Below are 15,848 nucleotides of genomic sequence, written 5' to 3' on the forward strand. Positions count from 1 at the left end.
AAATTTCATGCCATGCATTGAGAAAAATAATAAAAACAAGCCGGGCACAGTGGTTCATATCTGTAATCCCAGAACTTTGGGAGGTACTTGAGGTCAGGAGTTTGAGACCAGCCTGACCAACATGGTGAAACCCCATCTTTACTAAAAAATACAAAATTAGCCTAGTGTGGTGTTGCATGCCTGTAATCCCAGTTACTTGGGAGGCTGAGGCAAGAGATTCCCTTGAATCCAGGAGGAGGAGGTTGCATTGAGCTGAGATGGCACCATTGTACTCCAGCCTGGGCAACAAGAGTGAAACTCTGTCAAGAAAGAAAGGAAGGAAGGAAGGAAGGAAGGAAAGAAGGAAGGAAGGAAGGAAGGAAGAAAAAGAAAGAAAAGAAGGAAAGAAGGAAAGGAAGGAAAGAAAGGAAGGAAGGAAGGAGGGAAGGAAATAAAAACAACAACAACTCAACAGCAGCCAGCATCACATAGCCTGGGAGGTGGCATCCCTGGCTCTGCCCCTCCAGCATATGAATCCCGCCTCCACTACAATTCTAGTTATGAGACCATAGGCATCCACAGAATGCTGAATATTTCTGTGCCTCCATTTCCTCATCTGTAAAATGGAGATAAAGTCTTCTTTGGGAGTCGTCATGAAAATTAAATAAGGTGATATATAGAAGGCACTTAGCATCTGGCTGGCACATAATGATTGCCTGGTAGTCATTATTTCTAGAATCTCAGTATTCCATCCTGAGTTAAGAGGTGAAGAGCAAACGGTGCTTGGTGGCCTGGGAGGAGTTACCTATAATTTCTCTTTTCTCTTGCTTGCCACCAATAACCTTTGCCTCAGAGTTTGGGTGGGGCACAAGAAAACTTGTAAACCTCAGCCTAGTTACAGATTGGCCTTTAAAGACTGTCCCCCAGGGTAAGGGGCAGTGTCTCTGGATGGTGAAGGAGCAGCTGCCCCTGGGGGATGTGTCTTGGTTCCTAGACATCTTAGGAATGATCAATCTCCTAGGGGAGGGCATCTGACTATGGATCCAGGGGTTTCCGAGACCTGAGGGGCTATGAGGAAGGGGGGGACCCTTCTGTCTTCCTGACCTTCTGTGTGCAAAGTCACTACGAGTTCAATTAGGCACCTTGAGCAACAGGAAGAACAGATGCTGTGACCCAGCTTCCTTTTTTCTGAGAAGCGGAGAGTCTGAATCATAGAAGAAGTGCAGTGATTCAGATTTTGAGATAAGAAAGGACACATCAAAACAGTATTCTTCAGTTTCCCCAGAAGCAACTTCTTTTTGAACACAGTTTACCTCCAACTACTAGCTAACAAATCATAGGCTGCTGTGAAGCTTGTTTTATTGGCAAAGGATCAATTCAGCATCTCTGACATATGCCAGGTGCTGGGCATGTAATATCTCATCGTGGTAGGCTGAGGCTCGTGGACTAGAAATAAACTGCCCAAGGTCACTCAGTTGGTAAATGCTAGATTCCAGGGACTAGAGTTTTCCGTGGCTCTCCACCTTGAGCACACATCAGAATCCCCTGCGGTCTTGTTGAAACAGATTGCTGGCCACACCTCCAGAGTGACTGATTCAGCATGTCTGGGGTGCTGCCTGAGAATCTGCATTCCTAACAAGTTCCCAGGTGATGCTGATGCTACCGATCTGAGGACCACAGTTTGAGAACACCTGCTTTATAGCAGCAGCATCAATTACTATGACTCAGCCATTAAGAAAAAGGGAGGGGAAGTCCTTAAAAATACCTCTTGAAGAGGTGGTTAAGTTTCTCCACTCACCCTCCCTACCCAACACTCACATACACACACACACACACACACACACTGCTGACACCATCATTTGTTGCACATATGTATTCTTCAGAGATAGCAGAAGCTTTCTGCTTTGTTGAGATCCAATCACACCCGGAATAATGGCTGAGATCAGCAGACTAAGATTTTACCAGCCTCCCTTTATTGCCTGCATGAGAGCCTTTTCTTGGGCCCGGTAAGGAAAAGTCCAAGAGAGAAAGAACAAACTGGCCACACAATGCAACCGGTGCACTCTCAGCCTCTTCAGAAGACCTTGGCAACCAGGGAAGCTTGATTGCAATTTGTGGCTATTAACACAAGCTGGGCCTCCGGTGACCTCAGACAGCCTTTTTGGTAATGTTTGTCTGGTTTCCTAGCAACCTGAACATTAAGGAACAGAGGTGTAAATAAACCTGCTGGCTGCCCCCTGACCAGGTATTCTGCAGCGTTGGAAGAGTCTCAGCTGGCAGCTCAAATAATCTCTGTGATCCCATCCACAGGGTGTACATAAAACCACATTCCTGTGTGCCTCCATGACAATTAAAGCCACGCAAAAGCACAACTGCAAAGGATATGGTGTAACGGTGAGCTGCTGGCAGAAACCTCAGCTCAGTATGCAATAATCTGAAATAAAACCTGTGTTTTAAAGCTGATGGCTTTGAGAAATATATGTCATGCCATTTTTTAGAAGTCACTCTTGTGAAGTCGTTACCATTTGCCTAATAGCATGAAACAGACCAAAGTGGCAGCAAATGCTGTCCCAGTGAGATATCTAGTCCAGAGACGATGTTGGAAGGGCGGATGTTTGGAAAGGAAGTGAGAGTGTGAGCTTAAGAGGCAGCCAAGCATTCAAGCCCCAGCTCTGCCATTTATCAGATGAGTGACCTAATCCTAATACCTATTGGGTATTAGGCATATTAGCGAATTAAGCATATTACCTAATTCCCAGGTCCTGACCAGCAGCAGGTCCTCTTGTCTCCACCACCACAAGATACCTTAAATCTGCCCAGGTATCTCGTTACTACCCACCACATCCAAGCCATCATCTCTAGTCTGAATCACTGCAATAACCTATTAACCAGTAACCTTGCTTGCATAGTACCAACTCAACAGTCCATTCTCCACCTAGTAGCCAGAGATCTTTTTTCTTTCATTGTGATAAAATACAAATAGTGAAAAATTTACCATCTTAACCATTTTTAAGTGTACAGTTCGGTAACGGTAAGTATATTCATATTGTTGTGCAACCAATCTCCAGAATATTTTTTTTGAGACGGAGTCTCGTTCTGTCGCCCAGGCTGGAGTGCAGTGGCGCGATCTCTGCTCACTGCAACCCCTGCCTCATGGGTTCAAGCGATTCTCTTGCCTCAGCCTCCTGAGTAGCTGGTACTACAGGCACGCACCACCATGCCCAGCTAATTTTTGTATTTTTAGTAGAGATGGGGTTTCATTATGTTGGCCAGGCTGGTTTCGAGATCCTTACCTTGTGGTCTGCTCACCTCAGCCTCCCAAAGTGCTGGGATTACAGGCGTGAGCCACTGTGCCAAGCCAGAACTTTTTCATCTTGCAAAACCGAAACTCTGTATCCATTCAGCAACTCCTCATTTCTCCCTTCCCCCAGCCCCTAACAATTACTATTCTATTTTCTGTTTCTATAAAGTTGAGTACTCTAGGTACCTCATATAAGTGTATTGATTCAGTGTTTGTCCTTATTTCACGTAGCATAATGTACTCATCCACGTTGTAGACTGTGTCAGAATTTCCTTCCTTTTTAAGGCTGAATAACTGCCCATGGTGTGCATATCACATTCTGTTTATTCATTCTTCCATTGACAGAAATTCTGGTGGTTTCCACCTTTTGGCTATTGTGAATAATGCCATTATGAATATGGGTGTACAAATATCTCTCTGAGACCTTGCTTTCAATGCTTTTGGATATATACCCAGAAGTGATATTGCTGGATCATAAGTAAATTCTATTTTAAATTTTTTGAGGAACTGCCATACTGTTTTTCTTTTCTTTTTTCTCTTCTTTGAGATGAAGTTTCACTCTTCCTCCCCGGCTGGGAGTACAGTGGCGCGATCTTGGCTCACTGCAACCTCCGCCCCCAGGTTCAAGAGATTCTCCTGTCTCTGCCTCCCAAGTAGCTGGGATTATAGGCACCCACTACCAGGCCTGGCTAATTTTTGTATTTTTAGTAGAGACAAGGTTTGGCCTTGTTAGCCAAGCTGGTCTCAAACTCCTGACTTCAGGTGATCCACCCGCCTCGGCCTCCCAAAGTGCTGGGATTACTGGTGTGAACCACCACACCCGCTGCACCATTTTACATCCCCACCAACAATGCAGAGTGAACTTTTAAAGAAAGACCTCAGCACTGTTGACATTTTGGGCTCAATACGTGTTTGTTGTTTAGTACCATCACCGTCCTCTACCCACTGGATTCCAGTAGCACCTTCCCCCTTCCTAATTGTGACAGCCGAAAATGTCTCCAGGCATTGCCAAATGTTCCCTGGGGGCCCCTGGTTGAGAACCACTGAATTTAATCATAGCTCTCCCCAGCTTAAGCCTCCCATTGCCCTGAACATCCAAACCGTCTCATAGCTGACAAAGTCCTCGAGACTTCTTGGACCTCATCTCCTTCCACCTTCCAGGCACTTACTGGGTATTGGCCACAGTGACTACTTCTAATCTCTCAGACACAACAAACAAGGTTGTTCCTACCTCAGGGCCTTTGCAGTTGCTGCTCCCATCACCTAAACATCACTCCCGGGTTTCTGCATGGCCAGCAACTCCTTACCATTCACACCTCAATTCATATGCCACCTCCTCAGGGAGGCGTTCTGCGATCACCCAATCCCAGCAGCCACTCTCCCAACTGAGTCAGCCACAGTGTCTTGATGTTAAAGACTTTAAGAAATATATAAGTCATAGAATTTTTTAGAGAAGACAATGTTGTGGTCATTTTATTCGATGTCTTTATCACCATCTATGATGTTCATTTTTTTGCTGTTTTTTGTTTTGTTTTTTTGGAGATGGGGTCTCACCATGTTGCCCAGGCTGGAGTGCAGTGGCTATTCACAGGCATGATCACAGCTCACTACAGCCCTGACTCCAGAACTCATTCCTCCAACCTCTCCTCTCACCTCAGCTTCCTGAGTAGCTGGGACTACAGGCACATGCCACTGTACCCAGCCATGTTCACATTTTTATTATTTATGGAATAAAAATATAATTTATTGCCCAAATTAGGACATTTTGGGAATGAAGGGTCATGCTAAGAATGGTTAACAGGTGTTAATAATCCCAGGAAAACCAGGGACCTACTGTCACTAATTATCCATCTCCAGGCTAGGACGTGGGCTCCTGGAGAGCAGGGAGTTGGTCTGTTTTGTTCATCGTGTATCCCCAGCACCTACAATAGTAACTGACATGCTGTAGAGCTCAGTAAATATTGATGAAAATATGGCAAAACTTTCTGACTTCAATTACTTCAACTATAAAAATGGGTGTAATAACTATGACAACCTAGAAACTGTTGTGAGGACTAAATGATTATCACAAATGTGCCAGCTGAGCCTCAATAGAGTGCTTATTTCCTTCTGTGCTATTGCCATGGAGAAGTAAAGAGCTGGGCTGGTCATAGTGGCTCACACCTGTAATCCCAGAACTTTGGGAGGCCAAGGTGGGCGGATCAGTTGAGTCCAGAAGCTTGAGACCAGCCTGGGCTACATGGCGAGAATCTGTCTCTACAAAAAATTAACCAGGCATTGTGGCACATGCCTGTAGTCCCAGCTACTTGGGAGGCTGAGGTGGGAGGACCATCACATGAGCCTGGGAGGTCAAGGCTGCAGTGAGCCATGATCATACCATTGCACTCCAGCCTGGGTGAGAAAGCGAGATCTTGTCTCAAAAAAAAAAAAAAAAAGGAAAGAAAGGAAGAAAAAAGAGGAGAACTTAACCCCTGGAAGTGGAATTCCAGAACTGATGTGGTGGTCTAGTCCAGATTCACTATCCCAGCCCAATATGAGACGCGCCTGGGTGTGTTTATAAAAATACCAGTGCCCAGGCTCTCTCGGCCAAGAGAAATGGCAGCTCTGGAGGTGAGGCTTGGGCAGGCTGATAGTTTTTAAAGTTTCCTGGGGGATTCAGACACACAAGGAGGGCTGAGGCCTCTGGATTAGGTTAAATCTACAAATTCACAAAAGAGGAATCAGGCCCAGAAAGGGGGCCTGCCCCCACAGTCACACACTCCACATGGAAGAATCTGCACTGGATCCCACATCTCCTGGCTCCTAGTCAGTCCACTAGGAGGCAAGAGACCCACTCTATCAGATGCCTTCTCCCGGCGGTTAACTTTTCAGCTTTGGAAAGATCCCGGGGACATTCTATGGTAGGACCCAGGCTTGCTGAGGAGCCCCAGTCTTCATCTGCAGGAGCAATGAGCCAAGTACAAAGCCAGGTTAAGCATCTTGTCGGATGGCCCTGATCATCGTGCCCCTCCCAGCTCTCAGCATGGGGGCTGTGGTAGACAGCCTCCATCTGCCCCTGCAGACCCAGCCTCCAGATTCCCTCTGCACCCTCTCCACCTCCTCTATGCCCAAGGAGGCTGGCCTCTGAGCTCTGCATCACCCATGTTCCTCTGCCTTCTAATTCAGTTCAGCCAATGGGTGAGAGGAAAGTGGAAATGACGCTGGATTCTGGGAGGAAGACCTAGTCAGGTGACTCCAACACCCCAGCTGACTATTTCACACAGTCAGTACATAGTAAATATCCTTCCTTTCTGACTCATGACAAGACGAGGGTAAAATCTGTCCAATGCTTGCAGGAGGAAATGGAAATTAGCCTATATTTATAGCACAGCACTGACACAGAAGAATCATTTAGTAAAACAGAACAACAAAAATAAAAATCAGCTTTGTTCTCCGTTCCCTATGTTTGTTGTTCTTGTGAATTATATTTTTCTTCTCTGGTACAGGGCCACCTTCATTTTCCTTTTTCTAATTTTGTTTACTTTAAGAAACCATTCGCAGGCCGGGCGCAGTGGCTCACACCTGTAATCCCAGCACTTTGGGAGGCCAAGGCAGGTGGATCACCTGAGGCCAGGAGTTCAAGACCAGCCTGGCCAATGTGGTGAAACCCCGTCTCTACTAAAAATATAAAAATTAGCCTGATGTGGTGGCATACGCCTTGTAACTCCAGCAACTCAGGAGGCCAAGGCAGGAGAATCACTTGAACCCGGGAGGCAGAGGTTGCAGTGAGCCAAGATCGCACCACTGCACTCCAGCCTGGGGGATGAAGCGAAACTCCATCTCAAAAAACAAACAAACAAACAAACAAACAAAAACCATTCGGGGCTTTTTGACAACTTCTTGAGGGGCTTTCAAAGGGCTCTTGTAATTAGAGTAATACTTTTCCCACTGTTTGGAAAGTGGCTTTCCAGGGACAATGTACTAGAGCTGGACCCGAAGGAAGACACATGTGATCCCAGCTCCCCAAGCTTACTTAACAACCCAGGTCAGCAATGGCCCCTCCTCAGAAGTGCTTGGGGGTATCCCAGACATCCTAGGTCTTGCTCACCTGCCATCTGCTGCAGAAACTTGGACACTTAGAAACTTGTCCAAGAACACAAGGAAGTTGTGCATTGACCCCAGAGGAGCCCAGCCTGTTCACTTCCTACTCTACCAACGGCCATGACCTCGGTAAGTTTTCCTTCCAGGTCAAACTGGGAGACAAGTCGCCAAATCTCTCCAGACCTCAGTTTACTCATGTGTAAAGTTGGAATATTGATCATGTTTACTCTGAGGACCAGTGGCAAATAGTCAACTCTGACTTGGGTTTCTGGCCCTGAGGAAGACAGGGGCTTTGTGAGGATTGGCAGTAATGAACGCTGAATTCATGACACATAGTCGGTGAGTGATAAATAGTAGTTACTATTATTTCCTAAGGTTTTGAGAGTGTTGAATATCATAATATGTAAACATAACCAGTTGATGCTAGAAACATAGTAGCTGCTCCATAAATGATACAATATATTCAAAAGCAGGTCTAAAAATATCTGTGAAGAAAGCTTATTAAGTAGTCTACCCTGCCTGCCTTTGACCTGGATTATTCTAACTCTTCTGTTACCCTTGGACAGTATCCTCTGGGGTCCCCTTTGGTCCCTGACAGACATAGAGTACAAGTGATGACAAGACCCATCATGAAAGTTAAATTTTTCGTTAACTACAGAAAATGTGAAATGATAGACATTTTGCAAACCTTATTTTGAATTCTAAATTAGTTGAAAGCTGGAGTGCAAATTTGGAAGCAAAGTTTTGTAGCCTTGATTTGTGAATTGTTACAGTATTCATATTGCTTTCCGTAGGAGATGTTGCTTTTTGGAGCACTGGAGCAGGAGGCAAGGGGCTGGGGCTTTCTCCTGGCCCTACCCTTAGGTATCTGTGTGACTTTGGGGCAAAAGTTTCTCACCTGTCACCCAAGGGGGTTGAGCTAAATAGTAAGTGTGTGACTTTCCATTTCCCTAAAACTTTGACATGCTAGGGGAGGAGGGCGTGCTACTACTGACAGTGAAGTCCCTGGACCGGTGAGGTGGGATGGACGTTAAGTCCACCACAGAGCCAGGGAAGGGTTCCCCCAACTAAGAATCCTGGAAAACTGGGGGCAGGGAGGGGAATGGTAGTATGGTGGGGTGTGAGGAAGGTATGGGGTCGTGGTGGCAGCAGTCGGCTCTCAGGGCGTGACCAACTGGGGCAAAGGCTGAAGAGAGAGTTCAAAAATAGAAGCAGAGCAGGGCAATAGATTTAGTCATGTGGACATCCTTGGCCACTTTAATAAGCACTCTTTAGTAAAAGCATGACTGAAAGGGGCTCAAATGAGACTAGAAAGAGAAGTATTAGAGACAGTTAAACAAATTTTGGAGGACTTTTGCTGTAGATCTAGAAAATCATTATTTGGAGTAAAAGAGATCTCTATAAACACTTAGAACAGGGATTGTCATGTTGTAAGTGCTGACACATGTCAGCCACTACTGATTATCTATGTCCCCATTTGATCCTCATTACATTCCTGAGAGGCCCAGAGGTCAAGGTTTATCAGAGTTTGATTAGAGAAAACTGAGGCAGATGAATACAATGACTTACTCAAGGTCTCGCCCTTAACCCATTGGATTATCCATTCAGGCCACACGTGTCTGTTGACTGCCTGCTATAAACTGAGATAAGCAGATCAGGAAAGAGTAGAGCTGGAGCTAGATCTCCTGGTCAGAAGATCAGTTATTTCCCTAATATACTAGGTGAAAGTGCTTAGCACGTTTCAACTGATTTTTGCTGTTAAATACGTGAGTTACAAATCATCGAGGTGACGCAATTCCTTGAGTCTTCAAAGAGTCATCAATCTCGTTACTAGATACATTTATTTGATCTTCATTTTTAAAAATATGTAAATAACACCTCCTACTAGAGGCCAGAAACTACCCTTCGTGTTATGTTTCTGAGCTTCTCTGAAGTGGAAATCAACAGTCCTAAGGATGGAGCTTTCCTCTCATAAAGGGTCACCAGCATTTCCAGACTATGACTTTGGGTTCTAGAAAGCCACTATAGTTGGCCTCTTGGCAGACTCTAGAGAACGAGGTTAATTAGTAATCACTCTTGAGTTTGTTTAGACACATGAAAAGCCATCCTTTGGGAATGGGGCTGAAATTCTTAGTTCCTCAGCCATCCCTCACTGTCAAAGAGGCAGAATGTAATCAGTTTCCTGGAATCGAAAAGATTGAACATCTGAGTACAATCCATCTCCTTGAACTTTATTACCAATGTTCTCTTTCTCAACCTCTTGAGTAATCCAATTTTTCTGGACAAGGAAATTGAATATAGAATCAGAGAAGAGGCACCAATCCATCTCCCTCCCACCAACACTACCACCCAATGCTGTCTAGAGGCAGAGATACACTTAAACTCATTCAAATACAATCCTTCCTTAGGGAGTTTAGGGAGCTATATAGTGCCCTACACGGCTTCCTTGGAATCTATATCCACCAGAGTCCCTTCTCTAACATAGAAGTGAACAGCCAGAGGCAAGGATGGGCTTCCTGGCTACTAGCTAAGCTGAGATTTCAACCCCAGGTGGTGCTTTCCAAGCCTTTCTGCCTTTACCACAGCCCAGTGGTTACAGGCACAGGCCATGGAGTAAGCCAGGCTAGATCCAATTCCTGGAGCCGACACCTACTTTCAGTTTGCCTTTGGGTCCTGGATTTCAGTTAAGACCCACCCGAAAGGGTGGTACAGATTGAGGAAGGCAATGTGTGCTGTATAAACTTCTAGCATAGTAGTTCTAGCACTTAATAAATCAATGTAATAAACATTCATTACTATTGTTATTTTTACACATACGAGAAGAACCAGATAGAAACAGGAAGGTTACAACAAACTCAGTTTAAACATTTATCCCTGGCTAAACATGTCAACTCAATTTAACTCTCTACACCGCTAAAGATGGTGCATACTGTATTCATATATTACCACGTGTGTGGCCTCTGGAACTGGTACTGCCTTAGAACCACAGCCCTCTGGGACCAGCAGCCTTGCAATTTCAATATGGACCCTGTGTCGTTCCTCCTCTCTTATAGCACAAGCTTCCTTTCCCCTACTATACTTCTGGTGGTCTATGTTATAGGCTGAATTATATCTCCCCCAAATTCATATGCTGAAGCCCTAAACCCCAGTACCTCAAAATGTGATCGTATTTGGAGATCAGGTCCTGAAAGAGGCGATTCAGTTAAAATGAGGCCGTTAGAGTGGGACCTAATTCCATTTCACTGGTGTCCTTATGAGAAAAGAAAATTTGGACACAGAGAGATACCAGGGATGCATGTGCCCAGAGACCACGAGAGGACACAGGGAGACGCCGAGAGAGGCCTCAGTAGATAGCAAAGCTGCTAACACTTTGACTTTGGTTTTCCAGTCTCCAGAACTGTAAGAAAATTAAGTTCTGTTGTTTAAGCCACCCAGTCTGTGATATTCCATCACGGCAGCCCCGATGACTAAGACAGTCTATTTATTTTTCCCAACATCCAGACTCATCTATGACATCAACTCACGAGTTGAGATAAAACACGCTGACTCATTTTATGGTGGCTTTAGAGATTCCATTACCGGCCAGCTACATTTAAGGGGCCATTCAACAGTGGCAGGGAGGGAAGAGCCACAGCTCTGGAGAGCACTCTTTTCTTCTGGTCCATTATTTTCCCTGAAGAGACCCCTGACGCCTAAAGGTAAGGCAGGAGCACTTTCTGCTTATTCCCATCCCAGCTTCTTCCCATGGCTAGGAGCCTTCTGCACCTTCATTTCCAGTCCCTTCACAGGAACTTGTCTCTCATGAATAGGCACCAAGCCTCCCACAAAAGGAATTCACAGTTTCCAGTCCCAGTTCCCACACTGAGCAAAGTGTTTCACATCAGAGGCACTGTGGGGGGCTCCACAATGTAGCTGTAACTTCACATCCAAACTCCTCATCATCAGCCTCCTGGATGTGCACAGGTCCCCCATATCCCACACGTTGCACTGAGCAACCCCTGGGGGGAGGGGACAAGTGCATGGAACAATGTAAAGAGCACACACTAGGGCTGTGCAGTGCACAATCTGCGCAGCTGTACAAAGCGGCCCTGGCAGAAACTATGTCTTGTATGATTCATTACCCTCCCGGCCTCATGCTGAGCAACTAAAATGCCCTTTATAAATATTATTGATTCACTGGCATTTCTAAGTGAAGTGTTTTCCTTCAATGAGAAAAACAGTAAAAGTCAACAAGGAAAGAAAAAGACTCTGGTGAATATTAGATAAATGCTGCAGCTCCTTGGATCAGATCACGTCCACTCTGGATGTTCGTAATTGCACAGTAGGGATAAAACGACCTGACTTATGCAGTCGTCTCTGGGAATGGAAGGGATTAGGTGCTACTTGAGATTTTGATGTTCCTCCTTTCTGTCCATGTACGAGCATCACCTTATAATACTTATAATAACCTTGCCCCTTTCATTTTTTCCACTTAATGACATTGTTCTCCCCAGATTGCCACTTTTCGTTGGAAACCAATAAGTACCTACAGATTTATTGAGTTAGTAACAATGATTGTCTTCTTCCTTAGACCTTCCATAGATGAGCCAGTGCAAGATCATACTGCCAAAGGTCGAGATCAGGAGGGTGTCAGAGGAAAGAACCTTCCTCGGTGCCTACGGGGCACGCACCACTTCCTAGGACTGATCTATATAGGTCACGAGGCCTGTTTGTTAGAGGAGAGGAGTAGAACTGTCAACCAGCTGCACTCCAGCCTGGGTGACAGGGCAAGACTCTACCTCAAAATAAATAAATAAATAACATCACTAAACATCCAGAGGGGTAAAAATGGGGTAAAATGGGGTAAAAAATGTCAACCAACCGTCTTTCCCTGTACACCAAATACCTAGACGTCAAAATTACAACCAGAGCTTGCTTGATGACTGGGGATGCCAAGTTGGAGTGCTTGCAGGTGGATACATAACAGGATATACCAACCCAAGAATAGGGAGAGTGGCATCCATGGCGCAGCAGACATGCTGCAGGATGGAATTTGAAAGGCTCAGCCTGCTCCTGGCACTTCCAGGTTTTTTTTCTTCTGTTCCCCAGCCTGTCTCTCACTTTCGATTCATATACTCCTTCACTACACTATAAAGTACAAGTGAATAGATTCCAAAGATTCTGTTTTGTCCCCTTGGGATTACTCCCTGTCGTGCCTGAGTACAAGTTCTTGTGGTTCCAAGCCCTCTAGAGCCTCATCCACAGATGATTGCTTGGTTTGCTCCTAACCTCCAGGTGTGGATTTTCCCAATTTGATTCCCAAAGGGAAACTTTTCATCTGGGTTCCAGGGAAACATTAGACTGGCTGCCCCGGTTCAGTGTCTCTTTCCTGCTTTTTTTTTGTTTTGGTTTGGTTTGGTTTTTGAGACTGAGTCTCGCTCTGTCGCCCAGGCTGGAGCACAGTGGCATGATCTCGGCTCACGGCAACCTCCGCCTTCCAGGTTCAAGTGATTCTCCTGCCTCAGTCTCCCAAGTAGCTGGGATTACAGGTGCCTGCCACCAGGCCTGGCTAATTTTTGTATTTTTAGTAAAGACAGGGTTTCACCATGTCGGCCAGGCTAGTCTTGAACTACTGACCTCAAGTAATCCACTCACTTTGGCCTCCCAAAGTGCTGAGATTACAGGCATGAGCCACTGCCTCTGGCCTTTTTCCTGCTTTTAAAGAGCTGGTGTGAAAAAGAGTGTGAGACAATGCCTGCAACATTCCCACACTCGTGCTTGGCACAATTAGATGGTCTATAATGTTGGTTTCCTTTTCCAGGAGTAATAAAGCATGTTTAGTACCTCTGTGCTATGATCTAAACATCTGTGTCCCCCCTCAGAATTCATACTGTTGAAACTTAATCCCCAAGGTGGTGCTATTAAGAGGTGAGGCCTTTGGGAGGTAATTAGGTCCTAAGAGCTCCACCCTTGTGAATGGGATTAGTGCCCTTATTAAAGAGGCCTGGGGGAGCCTGCTCATCCCTTCCGCCATGTGAGGACACAGAAGGTGCCATCTGGGAGAAGCGAGCCCTTGCCAGACTCCGAATCTACTGGTGCCTTGATCTTGGACTTCCCAGCTGCCAGAAGTATGAGCAATCAAGTTCTGTTGTTTGTAAATTACCCAGTCTAAGGTATTTGTTATAGCAGCCCGAATGGACTAAGACACTCTCCATATCCCATAGCATTATCATAGAGAAAAGGGGACAGGTGCAGATGTCCCCGGGAGAGCTTTTGTTGAGTAACTGGAGGCATGCAAACCCCAACCCAATCTCAAATCCTAACTAAGAATCAAAGTGTGACAACTGTGTGTTAGGGAGACCTGGAGTGGCAGGTGTGCCTTGGATGTGGATTCTCAGAGACAGCAGTGTTGACGCCTTGCTGGACTAATCCGTGACCACCCACTATGGCAGGGACAGTGATTTACTCTCCCAGCTAATGTGAAAGCTCTGGTCAGATTGCATTCCAACAAAACCTCTAACTCAGAACTGCAGAGATGCTCGAGAATCCAACAGAAAGTCCACTTTGATATAAAGCATGTTCCAAGGCAGTTGGCTATCTTTGCCTCCTGCCCTGGAGAGCAATAACCAGGCCTTATGTTCACTACCCTGAGATGGAGGAGAGCATGTAAAAGAAAATAAAATTGTTGTCTTTTACTTTTCTTCGTTTTCTTTTTTTGTGAGACAGAGTTTCACTCTGTTGCCCAGGCTGGAGTGCAATGGTGCAATCTCGGCTCACTGCAACCTCCACCTCCCAGGTTCAAGCGACTCTCCCGCCTCAGCCTCCTGAGTAGCTGGGATTACAGGTGTGCACCACCATCCCTGGCTAATTTTTTGTATTTTTAGTAGAGACAGGGTTTCACCATGTTGGCCAGGCTGGTTTTGAACTCCTGACCTCAGGTGATCCACCTGCCTCGACTTCCCAAAGTGCTGGGATTATAAGCGTGAGCCACCCTGCCTGGCCAGCTTTTACTTTTCAGTGAGAAACGAAATGTACAAGGCATTCCGAGGGAACATTTTACCCATATGCATCCAGGACCCAATGAAGAGGCCGCCAGCCCCTCCTGTAGCCTCAGAACTGTGAGTCCATCTCTGTAAACAGGTGAGGCAGCTGGAGAAGCACTGGTGCCACCCATTCCACCTGCAGCCCCCAAGCTTGAAAGTGGTTGGCATGGAAAAGGAATAACCCTTACCTTTAGGAACAAAGAGAGGTGGAGTCCAAGGACCTTTCCAATACTATCTGAGCTGTAAACACAAAGCTGTAAACAAAGCTATTTATGGAGCACCTCTCACGTGTTGACACTAGGCTGGCCACTGGGTATGTGTAAACTCATTTGATCTTCAGATAACACAGAGGGGTCAGTGGTATTATTATCCCCATTTTCCAGAGGGAAGACTGAGGCTAGCAGGGGTAAGCTGTTGATTCACCCAAGATCACTCAGCTAGGAAGTGGCTCGAGCAGGATTTGGACACGGATCCATCTTACACTTCCCATTCGGGCTCCGCTGTCGGTGCCTGCAGGAAAGGGTCTGTGGCAGCACGGATTATATAAGGCTTCCAAAACTTCATAACCTCCTGTGCTTGTTATTTTTGTCTCTCAGCTGTCTGTGTCCCCACTGTGACAAGTTGAGAATAAAAAATCTTCAAACAAGAGGAGTCCATCTGCTTGTCTTTAGAGGCAGCAAGAAAATAAATCTCTTGATGGGTAAGGCCACAGTGGGGAAAGGTAGCATCTAAGGGGCGAGGGTCTAGAGCCTTTGGAAAGACAGCAAGAGAGAGCCCTGGAGTCAGGCCAGGAGGAACTGTATCCCTCAATGGCAGGGACTCAATGGTAGAAAGACGTGTACTAAAAGACATAAAGAAATATTCATGTAGAGCAAAGAGGATCAAAAGTACACTGAGAATTGAGGGGCCCTGGTCATTTCATGGAAATTAGTATAACACATATGCAAAACATTGTTTATTTTCTTCTGTGTTTTTTAAGAGACGGTATCGCTCTGCTGCCCAGGCTGCAGTGCAGTGGCACAATCACAGCTGACGGCAGACTTGACCCCCCCAGGCTCAAGCGATCCTCCCACCTCAGCCTCCAGAGTAGCTTGGACTACAGGTATGTGCTACCAGACCTGGCTAATTTTTAAATTTTTTTGTAGAGATGGGGTCTCACTATATTCCCCAGGATGGTCTCCAACTCCTGGACTCAAGCAATCTTCCCACCTCAGACTACAGGCATGAGCCACCATGCCCAGCCATATTGTTCATTTTTAAGTAAGTCACATTCTTTGGATTTGACAATATTTGGGGTTTTTTTGGTTTTTTTTTGTTTTTTTTTGTTTTTGAGATGGAGTCTCACTTTATCACTCAGGCTGGAGTGCAGTGGTGCAATCTCGGCTCACTGCAACCTCTCTGCCTCCCAGGTTCAAGCAATTCTTCTACCTCAGCCTCCCAAGTAGCTGGGATTACAGGCACCCACC

General features: G+C 45.8%; 1 annotated feature.

Moving 5' to 3' along the window:
* Positions 10,365–11,564: an enhancer, noted in NCBI's record as "P300/CBP strongly-dependent group 1 enhancer chr8:125283358-125284557 (GRCh37/hg19 assembly coordinates)". NCBI's record gives its function as "activates an origin of replication core promoter dependent on BRD2, BRD4, P300/CBP, MED14 and CDK7 cofactors, with strong dependence on P300/CBP, by STARR-seq in HCT116 cells {active_cell/tissue: HCT116}" and the evidence as "EXISTENCE:reporter gene assay evidence [ECO:0000049][PMID:35650434]".

This window comes from Homo sapiens, chromosome 8, assembly GCF_000001405.40.
Source record: "Homo sapiens chromosome 8, GRCh38.p14 Primary Assembly".
Classification (NCBI taxonomy): domain Eukaryota; kingdom Metazoa; phylum Chordata; class Mammalia; order Primates; family Hominidae; genus Homo; species Homo sapiens.